Source organism: Homo sapiens, chromosome 6, assembly GCF_000001405.40.
Source record: "Homo sapiens chromosome 6, GRCh38.p14 Primary Assembly".
Classification (NCBI taxonomy): domain Eukaryota; kingdom Metazoa; phylum Chordata; class Mammalia; order Primates; family Hominidae; genus Homo; species Homo sapiens.
The window spans coordinates 167370046-167386287 of NC_000006.12; the positions used below are offsets into that span (position 1 = coordinate 167370046).

A 16242-nucleotide genomic window follows, 5' to 3' on the forward strand; every position below is an offset into this window, starting at 1 on the left:
ATAATTGCCCCCAGTTGAGAACCAGACCTGGGAATATTTCCTGATTTTTTTAATGCAGAAATTGAGGCTTGATGAGATGAATTAATTGGCTGGTGTTGGCACAGCTGGTCTGGCAGAGCTGCCAGTCAGCTGAGCCCGTGAAGCCCAAGTCCATGCTTTCTGCTCCACCTGCAAGGTGGCTGCCGGGCCCAGTGCCTCCTCCCGGCTGTAAAAATCGTCTCCCTGGATCTCACCTCCAGCTTGTACCAGGGATTAGCTCCTGACTCTGCCTAACTTTGTTGCAATACTAATGCTAGTTCTACAATCAATGCACATGTACTAAGTGTTTACCACTGTGTTTCTAGAGAGTTCTACAGAAGAGACATTATTTAATGGACTATGTTACTTAACTTTCATAACCATCTTTTGACTTAGGTCCTAATTATCAGCCACATTTTGCAGAGGCTTAGAAAAGCTGAAAACAATGACTGAACTCAGAGCCAGGAGGGGTGCTGGTGCACTCTTGTGTCACCGTGCAGATCGGAGGGTCTTGACAACAGGGTCTCACTTGCCTGAGTGCACCGAGGAAGCAGAACAGCCTGGCTCATAGAGAGCCTTGCCCGCCTCCACAGCCTGTGCTCTGCTCGTCCCCACCAACCCATCCTGAACACCCAGAGGAAAGGGGGTACAGATGTGCAAAATCGTTCCTAATAACTGAGTTAGTTTTGATTTCTTTTAAAAAAAGACAGATCTTTTTTCAAAAAAGATCCATTGTACACACCACTCTCCGACTGGGTTTGATCTTCTTCACGTCACCATTAGAAAACCGGATGATGTGTTCTCACTCAGAGGTGGGAATTGAACAATGAGAACACTTGGACACAGGAAGGGGAACATCAGACACCCAGGCCTGTCGTGGGGAGGGGGGAGGGGGGAAGGATAGCATTAGGAGATATACCTAATGTAAATGACGAGTTAATGGGAGCAGGACACCAACATGGCACATGTATACATATGTAACAAACCTGCACATTGTGCACATGTACCCTAGAACTTAAATTATAATAAATAAATAAATAAATAAAAGAAAACCGGATGATGGTCGCCTTCTTATCCATGCTCGGCTCCTTCTGGCTGGCCTCGGGGAAGGTGGTGATGGCACAACCTTCGCTCAGTGCCTGTTCTACCTTTATGGAAACACAAAAGCTCCAAGATGAAAAATGATGTAAAGCCTGATTATTGTGGTTTCATTATTTTTTCTCCAATTCAGAATTATCATATGATTATCGCCTACATGGCATTCTCGACACTGGCTGTGATATTTCCCCCAAAATTGTACTGACTGAGTAGATCAGGTCCAAATTCCCATCCCCGAATGTGGTTATCAGTAATGAATAAGTGCTATGATCTGTCCCACCAACATTCGTCTTTCATAAGCTCGTGTCCCACAGTGGCCATCAGTCTAGATCTTCCACGGCCGCTGACTTGGTGAGTTTAGAGTCCTGGGCCATGGGAATTGTGGTAATTACTACGTAAAAATTACTCTTGGAAGCTTTTTCTTTCCTTTTCATCCCAATCTCCTTACCTCTACGCTCCTACGGCCCATCCCAAAGATGTGTTGATTTTAATTAACTATCAGCAAATATTATATAACCTCATGTGCATAATGCTGGACAAGGAATGTAGAAAGAATATCTTTGTCTTCACATTGAAAATATTACTCATGTAAAGATTAGCAAAAGAAAATATCTGAGAGAAATAATCTCAAGATCTGGGGAGTTAAGATAAGTGCATGTGAAAATTCCAAATGGCAAAATGTGTTTTTGTTATTTATGTCACACTGTCCCTCTTAACCATAGCTCAGAAATATAGGTGTTAATTCAGCTGAGAAAATACAAAGGGAATAGAAGCGAATGCTGGGCTTCTTAAACTGTCTTCAACCATCCACCAAACAAACCTTGACGGTGTGCGCCACCTGCTGGCCGGGACAACAGCCTCCTGTTTGATGGGGTTTGAACTAAGATGACTCCACCTGCTCCCAAACCAACTCGGTGAATGAAGCAGGGCTGTGTTCAGTTCCGTATCTGAAGATGAACTTTTAACCAACACTAACAGCTCCGACAATGTTTAAAGAATCAATTACTCTCAGAAGTAATAAAGCACAAATAATATTTTAAATGTTCCACATGAAAAGAATCAAACAATCTATTTTGGAGTTTATATTATTAAAAGAAAGAAAACACAAAAAAGGAAAGAACTTTGGCATATCCAATGCAAGATACACAAGAAGTAGATGCAAGATGAGTCACGAGAAGAGGAAAGTGCTGAAGACCTGGGAGGGAGGGTGGGGGAGCCAGAGACATAGGGGCAGGCAGAGGTGGGTGACCGCTGGTTGTGGGGAGAAAGGAAGGATCGCGCTAGCAGAGGGCACAGCGCGTTACCTAGTTCTTGTGTCCTCATCTTCGTGGTTTCATGAGCTTCAGCGATTGGTTCCTCCATGCACTTAGCCAAGGAGGAGCATCACTTATGTCTCATGGACCTGCCTACGGGGATGGCAAGGTCAGGTGCTCAAATGATGTGGGTTTCCTTCTCCCCTGACAAACCACTACAACCACTGCGCTAAAGACAAAAGCATTTCAGTGAATTCAAACTGTTACTGCAAGTAGCATTCCCTGTTGTTCATTTATCCAAATGCTTTACCCGCTTGCAAGACATGAATTCGCTTTTACTGAGGCAGAGTTCCCTCAGCAAAGCTAGCCTGAGGCCGACTCCCAGTTTCTAACAGGCCAGCAAGAGGCGTGAGATGAACGAACTGTTGAGCTGAAGAAGCAGCGATGATGTGCTGCCCCAGGCAGGACTGGGTCTCCTCGGAGCTCACAAAACACTGTAGCCGCAGCCGCAGCCGCAGCAGGTGCCTCTTCCCACCCCTTCCTGAGTCAATGCCGACCACCGCCACCTTGACGCGTCCTTCCGGAACTGAGCTCTCCTCAAGGGCTAAAATGTGGTGGCTGGAAGATATTTGAGGCTATAGTTTTGGGTTTTTTTTTAAGTATTTAAAACAAATCTTCCTCCTGAAAAGCGTATTGCTTTATTTACTGGGAATAAACTGGCAGTCAACAATGCTAGAAACGCCTGGCCTCCAGGTCAGGGCCCCATGTCCTGTCTGGAGGGAGCGGCGTGCAGAGCTCCTGGAAATTCACTCGGGAAACCGGACCGCCGGCAGTCATCTGCCTTGCCCTTTGGATGTCGTTTTTCTTCCTGTACTTCCTCCTTTTTCATCTTAGTGTCCATGGCCTGTGCTATTTCCAGGGAAGATGGTGGGTTTACAGGAAGATTCTGCAGAAAGAGCATAATCCTAATCTCCCGTGGTCTCCATGAACACTGCAGTATGAGGTGGGAGAAATGCACCTTGCCCTGGCATTTTGCAGCCTCTGCCTCTAAGTCAGTGGGCGCGGCTGAGCCCCGGACAGTCAGCACCGGGACTTTGGACCATGTTTTGTGTTTTATTAAAGTGCTTATCTCCCACTTGTATGTTTGGTCTGGAGTCAGGGTGGCCACAATGACAACTGCCACATTTAACACCTGATACAAACACCACACAGAGACACCACCTGCCATGGCTGCTGCACTGCTTCTCAATGTAGATCATTAGCCCGGAGGCTTCCAGGTGAACTCATTAGCTGGATCCCCAAACAAAATAAAATCCCAAGAAAAATATTCCCACTCGTCCCCCCACTGAAGACGTCGGAGAGGGCAGAACAGAATGTGGGCTTTTCGCAGGAGAACAGAAAACAAGCGGGACCTGTGTTCTGAGACTTCCCCGCCAGGTGCCTAGTTTTACATCATACGTAAGTTCACAGCCCAAATTTCCTGGCGTAGAGAAAATAATTTTATTTTATTGACTTTTTTTTTTTGTAAAATATAGCATGTTACAAGTCGGCCCCTAGCTAGGGCTTAGAAGTATGTTTGCTATTCTTGCCTTCGAGTCTATTAATGTCAACTGAGAACTGTAAATCAAAATGATAAAAAATGAAACTCTGACTAGGGGAACTCTTAAGTCATAAAAAACATTAATCTTGTTTGTGCTAAATGCAACCAACTTAAATCTATAAAAAAAAGTCTCTGTTTGAAAGGCTGAACTTCAGGAAATAAAGAGACATTTGGAATCATCTTAATTTTCTGTTCTTGTTGAGAAGATGGGAAGATGCAACCATCTCATGACACCGGCTCCGAATCTCACTTCCCCAGGACGAAAAGGTCACCTTCTCAGGTCTCCCTGAGGGGAACCGGGTGGGCCGCCCTCACAGAAGCCACTCAGCCACCTACCTGCCGCTCTGCACTGTCTGGGGCAGAACTGGCGAACTCGTCAGCTTGAACGCGGCTGAGAAATCCGCCTTCAGAACTCCCTAAGACTGATGAGCTTCTGTCTAAAAAGCAAAAAGTTAAATTTAAAGGGACAGAGCATATACATTGTGGAAATATCATTATCCTACTGCGATTGCTAAATCCAATTGAAGTGAATGGATGCACAGCTTCCCTCTTGTTCATGAGATCACTATACACATGTCAGGTCAGTTCAACAACAAGTGATCCTGTAAGAACATTAATTCTTTCATGAATACACTCAGTCAGTATTTCTTGGGCATCACTCTCTCTCGAGTATTCTGATGGCTCAGGAGATTCACGGATGGAAAGGCACTGCCTCGGCCCTGAAGCTGCTCATGGTTCTGCAGGAGGCAGACACAGGAGAGAAAGGCCAGATCCCTGCACCACTGGCTTATGGGACCTATGAAGGGACAGGGGCTGTGGTGAAGGAGCATCACAGGCTTCCAGGAGAGCCCGGGATCCGGGGGGTCTTCCCCAGGATGGCGTCACTGTCAGCTGAGATGATGCCTGGAGGTTGTGGAGGTTGTGCAAGACAAGGCCTCCAGTTCTGCCCGGCAGCAGCAAGTAACTAAAGTCTGGTCTGGGGGCCTGAAGAGGAGGGGGCAGCAGAAACAAGGTGGCCAGGCTGGTGCTGACCTGATGGGAAGGGCTTCCCCACCCCGTAGAGGAGCGCAGAGGGGACTGTGAGGGTACGCAGAGCCTGGGGTGGTCTGAAGCAGACAGATGGCACCAGTCTCACCTCTGTGAAGCTCCCTGCAGAGGCCATGAAGCAGTCTGGGGTGCAGGAGGCCCAGGGAGCGGACCCAGGAGGAAGACAGTGTCGGGTTTGGCCCTACAGGGCCACACAGGCCTGGGCCGAGGATAGGAAAGAGTCCAGGTGCCAGGCAGCCCAGGGCGAGTTGTGCCCACAGGCTTGGGCTGTGCTGTGCATAAGGACCACACCTGAGGCTCGGCCACCTCATGGGCTCCATTTCTTTAGGAAGACAGGTTCCTGCGGGGTTTGTGAAGCTGCTATGGTCATTTTCTGGCAGTAACGTGAGGAAGGAGTTCTTTCCCAACTCTACCAGGGGTACTGTTGGCTCCTCCCGGTGGGACCCCCAATGCAGAAAGCACCCACATCTGCATGGACAGAGCTGGGCTCAGGAAAGAGGCCGGGCAGGTGCCGGATGAGAGGGCGCTCCATCAGCGTGGCAGCAACGCCATGGGCGGGCAAACGGAGAAAAGGGAACAAAGCCCCCGAGTCCGCCCAGGCCCAGCCAGACGCCTTCAGCTGGGAGTGTACTCAGGGGAAGTGGCCGGTAGGATTCGGAATCTCCAGCCACGGCCCCTGGAGACCGGCATGTGGGCTGTGTGTGGGGTGGAGGGCTAGGGGTGTCGGCAAGACTCCCAGGTGAGGACCCAACCAGGGAATCGGACAAAAGTGGTCAGAAATTAGGCAGCTCCATGAAGGACATGTCCTTGCCGTAGTAAGATGTTCTGCTCACGCGTATCCACAAGAAAGCCCCCCACTTTACAGGAAGCATGGAAACAGTTAGGAGCCCTCGACCCTGCTCACCAGCTCCTCTGGCTGCTGCCGTCTGCTCCTGCAGCGTGGTGGCCTGGGAAGCCTGCACTGGTGATTTTCTGCCACCGGAGTTTTGCGGACTTCGGGAAGATGGATGCATAATCTGGGGCAAAGACAGTCAGAGGCCCCCCTTGTCACAAGGTCCCTGCAGCCGGCAATGCCTCGAGCCCAAAGGCTGGGAGCACGAAGCCATCTTCAGCCATCCACAATTTCCAGCAAGACCCCAGGGCTCACCCAACAGCCCTGAGCTCAGCACTACAAGGTAGATCAATTCTTTTAAAGACTCTGCAGAAATATACCAATTACGGAGCTCGGGAAAGTAATTGATTTTTAAAACCCAATTCAAGTTGTTTGCTTTTTAAAACCCAATTCAATTTATTTGCTTTTATAGCATTAAAGACATGTCTGCAGAAATTCAAAGTTTTATCTATAGAAACATAATTAGGTTAATAAATTACTAGGTCTATTTCGAATAACAAATTGAGTACTCTTATGAGACCTAAGTGGAACTTCATCTGAATCTGAATTTTCCATGCTGCCAGTGTAGAGTGACCCAGGTTTCCGAGGTCACCTTTCCGTCTTCAGACACCCCCCGTCTTTCTGCACCGGGAGTCGGCCTTCCAGTGGGTGCTGGACTTCTGTCTTGACGTCTCCCGGGAGGACTTTTCTCTCTATCTTCCTGTGGTGGTGTTTTCCCCGAGTTAATTCTTTCTGTCTTTAAACTCATTGGCTGAAAATAAATGTGGTTGCATTAATAACCATCATATTATTTTAAAATGTTGAGCAACACATCACACCAGCTGCCACAGAATCTAGAGGATTCTACCCCCGCTTCCTACAGAAGGACACATGAGGCATCCACGCTCTCATTCCCCATTTTACAGCCACGCTCTTGAGGAATTCAGGGACGGTATGGCTGACGTTGTAGAATAGTCAACAGTGAAATAAAGTACTTGAAACTCAATTCAAAAATGCATAATGAAAATAATGTTCTACCTTTTCTGCTGCTTAAAAATTCAGGGTTTGGAGGCGTGGATAAGCCACCCATTCAGTTATCTATTTACTCGTACATTGTCCAGCACGCGTGTGATTAACTCAGGTCAATGCAGAAGCGTGAGAGAAGTCCGTGTCTCACAGGAGGCTGGACCTATGCAGTACGTCCTGGGACTTTCGATGTTTTGTACTCATAGGATCTGAAAGGACTATTTTCCTACTTGTGACAAATGCTTGGAGTAGATTTCTGATCTTCCTTCAGGGAATAAAGTGTTATCTGCTCAGCAGTTGCTTTGGGAAAGAAGCGAGGGGATAAATCATCTTCAGGAGTTGGGGGGGCAGTCTTCTCCATCCACATCGACCCAGTATCAGTTGCTGGCTCAGGACTCACGAGATTTGCCTCCCGAGTGTGAGGGTGACACAAAGCTGGGATGGGAAGAGACACACTGGCCAGCAGAAGGTTCTAAAGAGGAGCTAATTTTAACAAGGAAAAATGTGTTGGAGACAAAATAGCATCCTGCACTGTGGCCCCCAAGCAAGCGGCACAGCCCCTGTTCAGAGGAGTCCACGCTGACAAGCAGCAGGTGCAAGACCGCAGTGCAGAAGCAGGGATCGTGGGAGGCTGCGAGCCCCCAGACGCACGGGCCATGGCATGTGGCGAGAGCGCCACACATATCACCTCCGTGGGTGGCACCCACGGAAACAAAGCCCCCGAGTCCACTCGGCCCCAGCCAGACATTTGCTGCCGTGAGTGAGCTCAGAGGGAAGCAGCTGGCAGGACTTGGAATCTGCCCTACAGCAGGAAGTGCTGTGGTTTAGGATCTTGTTTGAAAGGCATGCACCCATGTCCTTGGAAAAACGCAGGACTCCAGGGAGCACCATGCTCCCCCAGGGAGGTGAAACTGTGTGGTGAGGAGCTGATGGGATGTGTGTGTTTGGGTACAGAAGCTCTGCTGCTCTTTACAGACGATAAGCACGAAGGGTCACCTTTGGAGGAGCTAAGTGGTTAGATGACCATCTTTGTCCCAGGAGAGTGGCACTCTGACTCTTGCGGCCAGCGTATTTGGGCGTTGTGTCTTCATCAGCTGACAGATGTGAAATTTTTCCAAAAGCAGGTTCCAATGCCTAAAAGACAAAATGCGGGGAAAATGTTCATATTTTCAAAGGTAAGATAAATTCAAATTTTAATAAAATCCAAAATAATTGGAATGTCCTAGAAAAAATTAGGGTACGAGGTGGGGGGACTTGGCCTGGGTTTTTCCCCTAACATGTTGATAAGAACAGAAACCCTCACCCAACGTTTGTGAAGGAAGCTTTGTGGAGCCCGTATTTGCTTTGTGTTTCTTATTGTGGTTCCTTGTTTCAAATTGATCACAGGATCCCAAAGGCTACAGAATGATCAATACCCAACATATCTTCCTTCAGGCTCATGTGTCTTCAACGGGGAATGTGGCAACGGAGGAGGAAAATGTGATGCTCCTTCTAGTGTTGTCTCTACAACTTGTCTAAGATTCGAAATGCAAATTCCCAACTTCCCCTGTTATCAGCAGACTGACCTGGAACAGCGTGATCCTGCAGGTGGGAGGAGGTGTGTTAGGTCTGGAATGTTTAATTATTCCCCGCTCTCCCCTCTGAGGAGGAGGAGGGAGTGAGAAGGGGAGAGGGTTGCTATGAACGAACCCTTAATACCAGATCCAGAGTGGCTCACCCACACAGCCGTGCCCGCGTTCCGAGGGTGCTCATGCCTCAGCCTTTTAGATGCTCACTCCCTAAAACTGCGACTACACACAGATACACCTACGCAAATTTGAAGTGTGGAATTCACATATCCCGTCCTTTCTTCAAATCAGGTATGCTCTTGTGAGCATAGATCCTCTTCCTATAAATAGCCCCATGGTGACCAGTACAATGCACAGAATCAAAAAAAAAGTTTGGAAATTCCCCAAGCTCTAACCTCGAAATAAGAGAACAATGGAAGCTGTAGGGAGTGTGAAGACTGGACGAGACTTCATTGGCTCTTGGGGTTACTGTTACGGTAACATTTCGACCAACATACAATGACCCAAATGGGGCAGTAGATACTATTTTTTAGGAACTGGCATACAGTATATGCAGGGAAAAATCCCTGTGGGTCTTATGGGTTCTCCTCACAGAAGGTGGACAATCCCGGCCAGTATTTGTGGCAATTTCTCCCTCTCTACCTCTGACGGAGGAACAGCCTGCCCGGCTTCCGCTCGTGGTTCGGCAGAAGGACTGGGCACTTTGCTGTGTTGAGAGGATAAACCCGCTTTCTTTCTGAGGCAGCAGAAGCCATCTCCACGGAAACAAAGCTCTCGCAGAGCTCCCGAAGACTGGGAATGACTTCCAAGATTTCCCGTAATTTCTTGTAGAGGAATTTGTGGCTGTTCTTGCCATGCTGGGAGAACCGACCACAGAGCAGGCTCCTCTGGAATGTATTCTGTGGGTGCCTCTGTGTGTGTGTGCATGTGTGTGTGCACACGTGTGTGTTGTAATCACTGTGTCATATCGGAAACATTCTAAGTCCTGGAAGTACCGATTTAAAAGTTCACGCAATAAGTGCAGATAGGAAACGTTGGTACTTTTCTTAACCCACTGAGAAATATCCCCACTTACATTTGGAGGGTGTTCACGTGGTTCCGCGTGTCCTGACCTGTACATATAATTTTAATGATTCAAGTTGTTTACACCCATGTGCGGGAGACAGAACCCAGACAAGGCAGTGATAACACTGGCCACATTCACACTCTCTTAGGCTCGGTCTTTGAGCCGTGTGATCAAACTCGAAAGCTCAGTGTTCTATAAAGGCAGGTGGGTGCTGGGAGGCACCGACTATTTCAGCATGAGAATGCTGGTTCTTCCTTTGGGATAGAGCAGGGCGGTGATATGGGACGGGCGCAGGAAAGTCCTGGGTAGAGAAGGGCAGGTCCCTGGCTAGGGCTCCACCCCCAGGCCTGTGCCCAGGGACCTAGGCATTTCTGCTGTCGTGCCCAAATGTAGCATTTCCAAGACCACCCTGGCCTGCCACACTCCCATCTTGTGCCTGTGAAGACCCCGAGACCCTAGTGGGCAGAGACACAAGTGGCTGGCATCGAGAGGAACACACTGGCAGACATCAGCAAGCCATTGACTGTCAGAATGACAGGGAGATTGATCAGGGCAGTCAGAGGAGAGCCCGGCGGCTGGGCTGCCCAACTCCAGGTGAAAACCACCTTCCCACTCCATCTCGGTTCTGGCTCCCCTGTCTGCTGAGAGCTACCATCACCCAATAAAAAACCTTGCACCCATCCTCCAAGCCCACATGTGATCTGATTTTTCAGGTACACCGAGGCAGGAACCCAGGATACAGAAAGCCCTCCGTCCTAGTGATGTGCAGAGGGTCTAACTGAGCTGCTAAACACAAGCTGCCTACAGAGAGCTAAACTGAAAGAACGCCCTGTGACACACGCCCACTGGGGCTTCAGCTGTAAACATTCACCCCTAGACACTGCCGTGGGGTTGGAGCTGCACAGCTGCCCGTCTCTACGCTCCCCTAGAGGTTTGAGCTGTGGGACAATGAGCAAGCGAGCCACATCCCCTTCGCACACCCTGGGAGGGGGACAAGGGAACTTTTCCCGTTTCAACAGGTCTCTATTGCATTCTACACAGCTGTCCTAGAAGATGAACAGAAGGACACCGGGCCACTGAGCTGACTCTGGAGTCACCCTGGGTTCAAATCCCAGCTCCGCATTCTCCAACCCGTGGCCATGTTGGAGTTAGTTATAGGATCCATTTCATAGGGTCGTCGTAGAGAGTAAGATGGTAAAGCTCCCTACCTAGCCCATGTAAAGTCCACAGTAAGGGTTTGCTGCTGTTGTCCTGAGACATCATGGGTTGTCTTAGAATTCTAGACGTGAGACGCGCAGCCTGGAGGCGGCTGTGCTTCTGTCTGCTGGAGTGTCAGGTGAGATGCCTGATGTATCCAGTTCTTTAATCTTTACTTGTGGGAAATGGAGCTGATGGAAAGATAGCAAGCCCTCCCACCACCTGGAACGTGAGAGATACCACGTCACCCAGCAACAAAGCCCACATCTTTACGGGGACGCTATATTTACACGACGCAAATGATACAAAAACACAAATGCGCCTTTGGTACCAGAGTGTGTGATTCTCGCCCCGCGTGTGGGGACGCTGCGGGTTTCTTCCCGGCTTCCCACTGCTGCCGCTGCAGGCCTCTCAGCTCTTCTCGGAGCTCCCGGTTCTGCTTCCTCAAGGCATCCATATGACTCTGGAGTTTTCTGTGAATATCAGCCCACAGCGACTGCTGTCTCCCGAGCTCTTGGTGGAGGCTGGTGATCTGCTGCTGTAATGACTGTCATTGGGAAGAGAACACCAGGAAACCTCTCAGACGCCCAACCGGCACATTCATCTGCAAAATACTCAAGCCCCCTCTGAAGTGAGACCAACACTCTTTCTGGACAAAAGGACACCCGATGAGATAAACAGGACTACCGCAGCCTTTTTCTTTCTTTCTTTCTTTCTTTTTTAATTTTTATTTATTTTTATTTTTTTTTGGCAGAGTCTCACTCTGTCATCCAGGCTGGAGTGAAGTGGCATGATCTCACTTCACTGAAGCTTCAACTTCATGAGCTCAGGTGATCCTCCTGCCTCAGCTTCTGATGTAGCTGGGACTACAGGCGTGTGCCACCACACTTGGCTAATTTTGGTATTTTTAGTAGAGATGGGGTTTCACTATGTTGCCCAGACTTGTCCCAAACTCCTGGGCTCAAGTGATTCACCTGCCTCGGCCTCCCAAAGTGCTGGGATTACAGGTATAAGCTACCATGCCTGGCCACAGCTTTATTCTTATTGAGTACTGTTTATTATGAGTTAGTCTACATGATATAACCAGATATAGATGGTCAGTGAATTATCATTCTTTGTTAAAACACTACTACAGCAATAAGAGGCTGGCATTCTTTTATTCTTTTTCCTTCTTTTTTTTTTTTTTTTTTTTAAGACAGGGTCCTGCTCTGTCAACCACGCTGGAGTGCAGTGGCACAATTTCAGCTCAATGCAACCTCCACTTCCCAGGTTCAAGCAATTCTGGTGTCTCAGCATCCCAAGTAGCTGGGATTACAGGTGCACGCCACCATGCCTGGCTAATTTTTGAATTTTTAGTAGAGACGAGGGTTTGCCATGTTGGCCAGGCTGGTCTCAAACACCATGGTGGCATGGATGTGTGGTCAACAGTTTAAAAATTATGGAAGCCACTGCATTTTCAACCTGACATGTTAGCCTTCCCCTGGCATCCTTCATTGGACCGTAGAGCCTCCAGCCTTGCTCTGAGAATAAGTGGGATCGTGATAGAGGTACAGCCCTTCACTGCATGGCTCTGGCCACAGGGACCCATGGCACTTTCTTGAGAGCAAGCACTGTCCAACAGGGTCTGGTGAGGAAGGAGCTAAAAATCAGGAAGCTTGCTGGGATGATGTGAGGAAGGGGTAAAAATCAGGAAGCTTGCTGGGATGATGTGAGGCATGTCAACCTTCTGATTTTCGTTAATGAAGTTTTTAAAGTCTGGTGCCTTCTCCTGGATTAGAGGAGAAAAGCTGGAATGTTAATATTTTCTTTAACTCCCCATCCTGGCTCCCATCCACCAAGAGAGAAGGTTGCAGAGGGGAAAAGAACCACGTGCCCCTCTGAGAGGAAGTTCAGCATCAGCGTCCCAGGGTGGCGCATTCCTACAGGGGTCTGGCGAGGGAAAGTCCAATGACAGACCACAGGGACAGGAATCAGGGTCCCACCTGGTGGGACTAACTCTGTCCCCACAGAGGTCAGCTCACCGGCATCTCCCCGGCATTGCTGTCCTCCCTGGGGACCTCGGCTGCTGCAGGTGTCTTCTCCATGGCAGCCCCAGCTCCCGGGCACGGGTCTTCTGGGTGGGTGCCCTCCTTGGGCTACCCGGCCTCGAGCTGACCCTCCAGCATCCTGGTTGGGAAGGGAAGAGCTATGGCAATGCCTGAATGCAGCCCCCTACCCCGTCAGTGTGGGCTGAAGGCCCCAGCCTCAACCTAAGGGCGAGCAGGAACCACAGCCTCTCTTCTCCCCCGGGGTCCTGTACACATTCCCAAGCCCGAAGCTGACCAGGTGAAAGGACACCACAGAGGGAGGGACTGAGAGGTCCACGCCTGGCTCTCCACCATCCTCCATGGAAAAAACTTCAGTTCCTAGAAGATCAGCCTGACACCTTACACACTGTCACCATCCACAGACGGAGGGACTGAGCGGTCCACACCTTGCTCTCACCATCCTCCATGGAAAACACTTCAGTTTCTAGAAGAAGATCAGCCTGACACCTAACACATTCTCACCATCCACAGATGGAGGGACTGAGTGGTCCATACCTGGCTCTGCACCATCCTCCATGGAAAACACTTCAGCTCCTAGAAGATCAGCCTGACACCTAACACACTGTCACCATCCACAGACGGAGGGACTGAGCGGTCCACACCTGGCTGTCCATCATCCTCCGTGGAAAATGCTTTAGATCCTAGAAGATCAGCCTGACACCGAATGCACTCTGGTCATCCAGAGAAGGGTGTGAGCGGGGTGTGAGCCGGTGTGAGTGGGATGTGAGTGGGGTGTGAGCGGGTGTGAGGGGAATGTGAATGGGTGTGAGCAGATGTGAGCAGGATGGTCTCGGGGTGTGAGTGGGATGTGTGTGGATGGTCGCTTGCGGCCCTGAGGGAACTCTTAGCCCTTTAATCAGCACCACTGGATCAACACCCACTTGGAGGTGCACAGGCAGACCCCATACTGTGTTGAGTCTGAGTCTTGAACCATCGGGATGACATTTGTGAATTCATGGTGAAGACGTGGAAAGGAAACACCTTTTTATAGGTACAGCATTTATGCCAGTTCTAGGAAGCTCACAGCAATCAGAAAACTAAAACAAAAGAGAAAACGCAAAGCTTCCTGCAAGCCTGCAGGGTCCTCTCTGAAAGCCGCTCCCAACCCTGCCTCACCCTCTCGGTTTTAGGAAGCGAATGGCCCCCAACGAAACCCCAGCTGTTTATTCATAAACTTCTCACTGTATACAAACCTGAGAATGAACAGTTTAACCACAGTGATTGGAGAAATGCTGTTTAAAAGAGAGTCTCCTGATGAAGGCAAATCGAAGGTCAAGAGCAAGACCTACCAGTAACCGGATCCCTGGCTGTTCCTTCCCCGCGGGGATTGGGACAGTTTCTGTGGAAGTGGGCAAGGGTCCGCGGTCCTCACAGCCCTGAGAAAGCTTCTTCTTTCCCGCTCCTCCGAGGGGATACCCCAGTGTCCTCGGCCCCAAACTTGTGACCCCCTCAGTCTGGGGAAGACCCCTTCCCTCAGCCCCACTAACAGACCTCATCACCTCACCTGGTCCCCGCCAGTCACTTCTGCTGGGACCAGAGCATCTGGGCCGTGTCCCCACAGCTGTCCCCAAGTCCTCCCGCCTCATCTCCAGAGACCAGAGAGCAGCCGACGGTTCCAACGGACTTTCTGTCTTAAAGGGGCATGAGCGTCCCACTCAGCATCACCACTGGACCAGCTCAGATAATAATTAAACATCCCAAACCCGCAATTCTAACATAGGAGCTCATTGTCAGTGGAGTCCATCCATCCACAAAGGACACTGGAGAGAGTCAAACTGCTCCTCCCCATTGACAAAAACCATGTGTTTAATATCAAGTCTTCAATACCCAACGTGTAGTAAGAGCTCATTTCTCTGAGCATACATTCTTGAAGAAATATAAACTCTCTTTGGATGTCAAATTACTTACTAGAAAAAACATTTTTATGAAGGGAAAATAATATATGTGAGTTTAAATAGGAGACAGGATTCAAATTTTCATCATTTCACAGAATGCATCTCCATCTGAATTGTCGTGTGATTTTTGTGATAGAGAAGAGAATGAGGCGCAAGCGAGAGTCCATGTTCCTGTTAAGCCCTGGCCATCCTTCTCATCCACGGTGCTGCCTGTGGAGAGCACACCTGGGGCTCCCCTGAGGCTGCTTGTGCTGTGTGTCACTCGGATAGTTCCTCAAGCGACTCGCTTGCAATAGGCAGTAAACACCGACGTCGTGAATGAACGAAGAAACTACCACAAAGAGGAAACGAAGCACTTTTGTCCCTGCGCGTCATTCTAACCATGGATTGTGGGTCCTGAGGTGTGTGAGGGGCTGTGGTGTGTGTGTCCTGAGATGTGTGAGAGGCTGTATATGTGTCCTGAGGTGTGTGAGGTGTTGTGTGTGTGTCCTGAGGTGTGTGAGGGGCTGTGGTGTGTGTGTCCTGAGGTGTGTGAGGTGTTGTGAGTCCTGAGGTATGTGAGGGGTTGTGTGTGTGTCCTGAGGTGAGGGTTGTGTGTATTCTGAGGTGCGTTTGGGGTTGTGTGTGTCCTGAGGTGTGTGAGGTGTTGTGTGTGTGTCCTGAGGTGTGTGAGAGGTTGTGTGTGTCCTGAGGTGTGTGAGGTTTGTGTGTGTCCTGAGGTGTGTGAGATGTTGTGTATGTGTCCTGAAGTGTGTGAGAGGTTGTGTGTGTCCTGAGGTGTGTGAGGTGTTGTGGGTGTGTCCCGAGGTGAGGGTTGTGTGTATCCTGAGGTGTGTGGGGTGTTGTGTGTGTGTCCTGAGGTGTGTGAGGGGTTGTGTGTGTGTGTTCTGAGGTGCGTGAGGGGTTGTGTGTGTCCTGAGGTGTGTGAGGTGTTGTGCGTGTGTCCTGAGGTGTGTGAGAGGTGTTGTGTAGGTTCTTGAGGTGTGTGAGAGGTTGTGTGTGTGTCGTGAGGTGTGTGAGGTTTGTGTGTGTCCTGAGGTGTGTGAGATGTTGTGTGTGTGTCCTGAGGTATGTGAGGGTTGTGTGTGTGTCCTGAGTTGTGTGAAAGTTGTGTGTGTCCTGAGGTGTGTGAGGTGTTATGTGTGTGCCCTGAGGTGTGTGAGGGTTGTGTGTGTGTCCTGAGGTGTGTGAGGGTTGTGTGTTTCTTGAGGTATGTGAGAGTTGTGTGTGTCCTGAGGTGTGTGAGGGGTTATGTGTGTGTCCTGAGGTGTGTGAGAGTTGTGTGTGTGTCCTGAGGTATGTGAGGGTTGTGTGTGTGTCCTGAGTTGTGTGAAAGTTGTGTGTGTCCTGAGGTGTGTGAGGTGTTATGTGTGTGCCCTGAGGGTTGTGTGTGTTTCCTGAGGTGTGTGAGGGGTTATGTGTGTGTCCTGAGGTGAGAGTTGTGTGTGTGTCCTGAGGTGTGTGAGGTGTTGTGTGTGTGTCCTGAGATATGTGAGGGTTGTGTGTGTGTCCTGAG

The 16242-nt window shown here is 49.5% G+C and overlaps 1 pseudogene across 4 annotated transcripts; it reads right to left on the reverse strand.

Moving 5' to 3' along the window:
* Positions 1–3044: 3044 nt before the first annotated feature.
* Positions 3045–14465, reverse strand: TCP10L3 (t-complex 10 like 3 (pseudogene); annotated as a pseudogene). Of its 4 annotated transcripts, NR_163194.1 has the most exons (8): positions 14336–14465; positions 12766–12910; positions 11076–11291; positions 7910–8047; positions 6501–6659; positions 5921–6032; positions 4306–4406; positions 3045–3315 (listed from the first exon to the last, which is right to left on the reverse strand). The product of NR_163194.1 is annotated as a t-complex 10 like 3 (pseudogene), transcript variant 2 (transcript). The 4 variants fall into 4 exon arrangements; NR_163195.1 differs by lacking the exons at positions 11076–11291; positions 12766–12910 and adding an exon at positions 6926–7213; NR_163196.1 differs by lacking the exons at positions 11076–11291; positions 12766–12910.
* Between the last annotated feature and the right edge of the window lie 1777 nt (positions 14466–16242).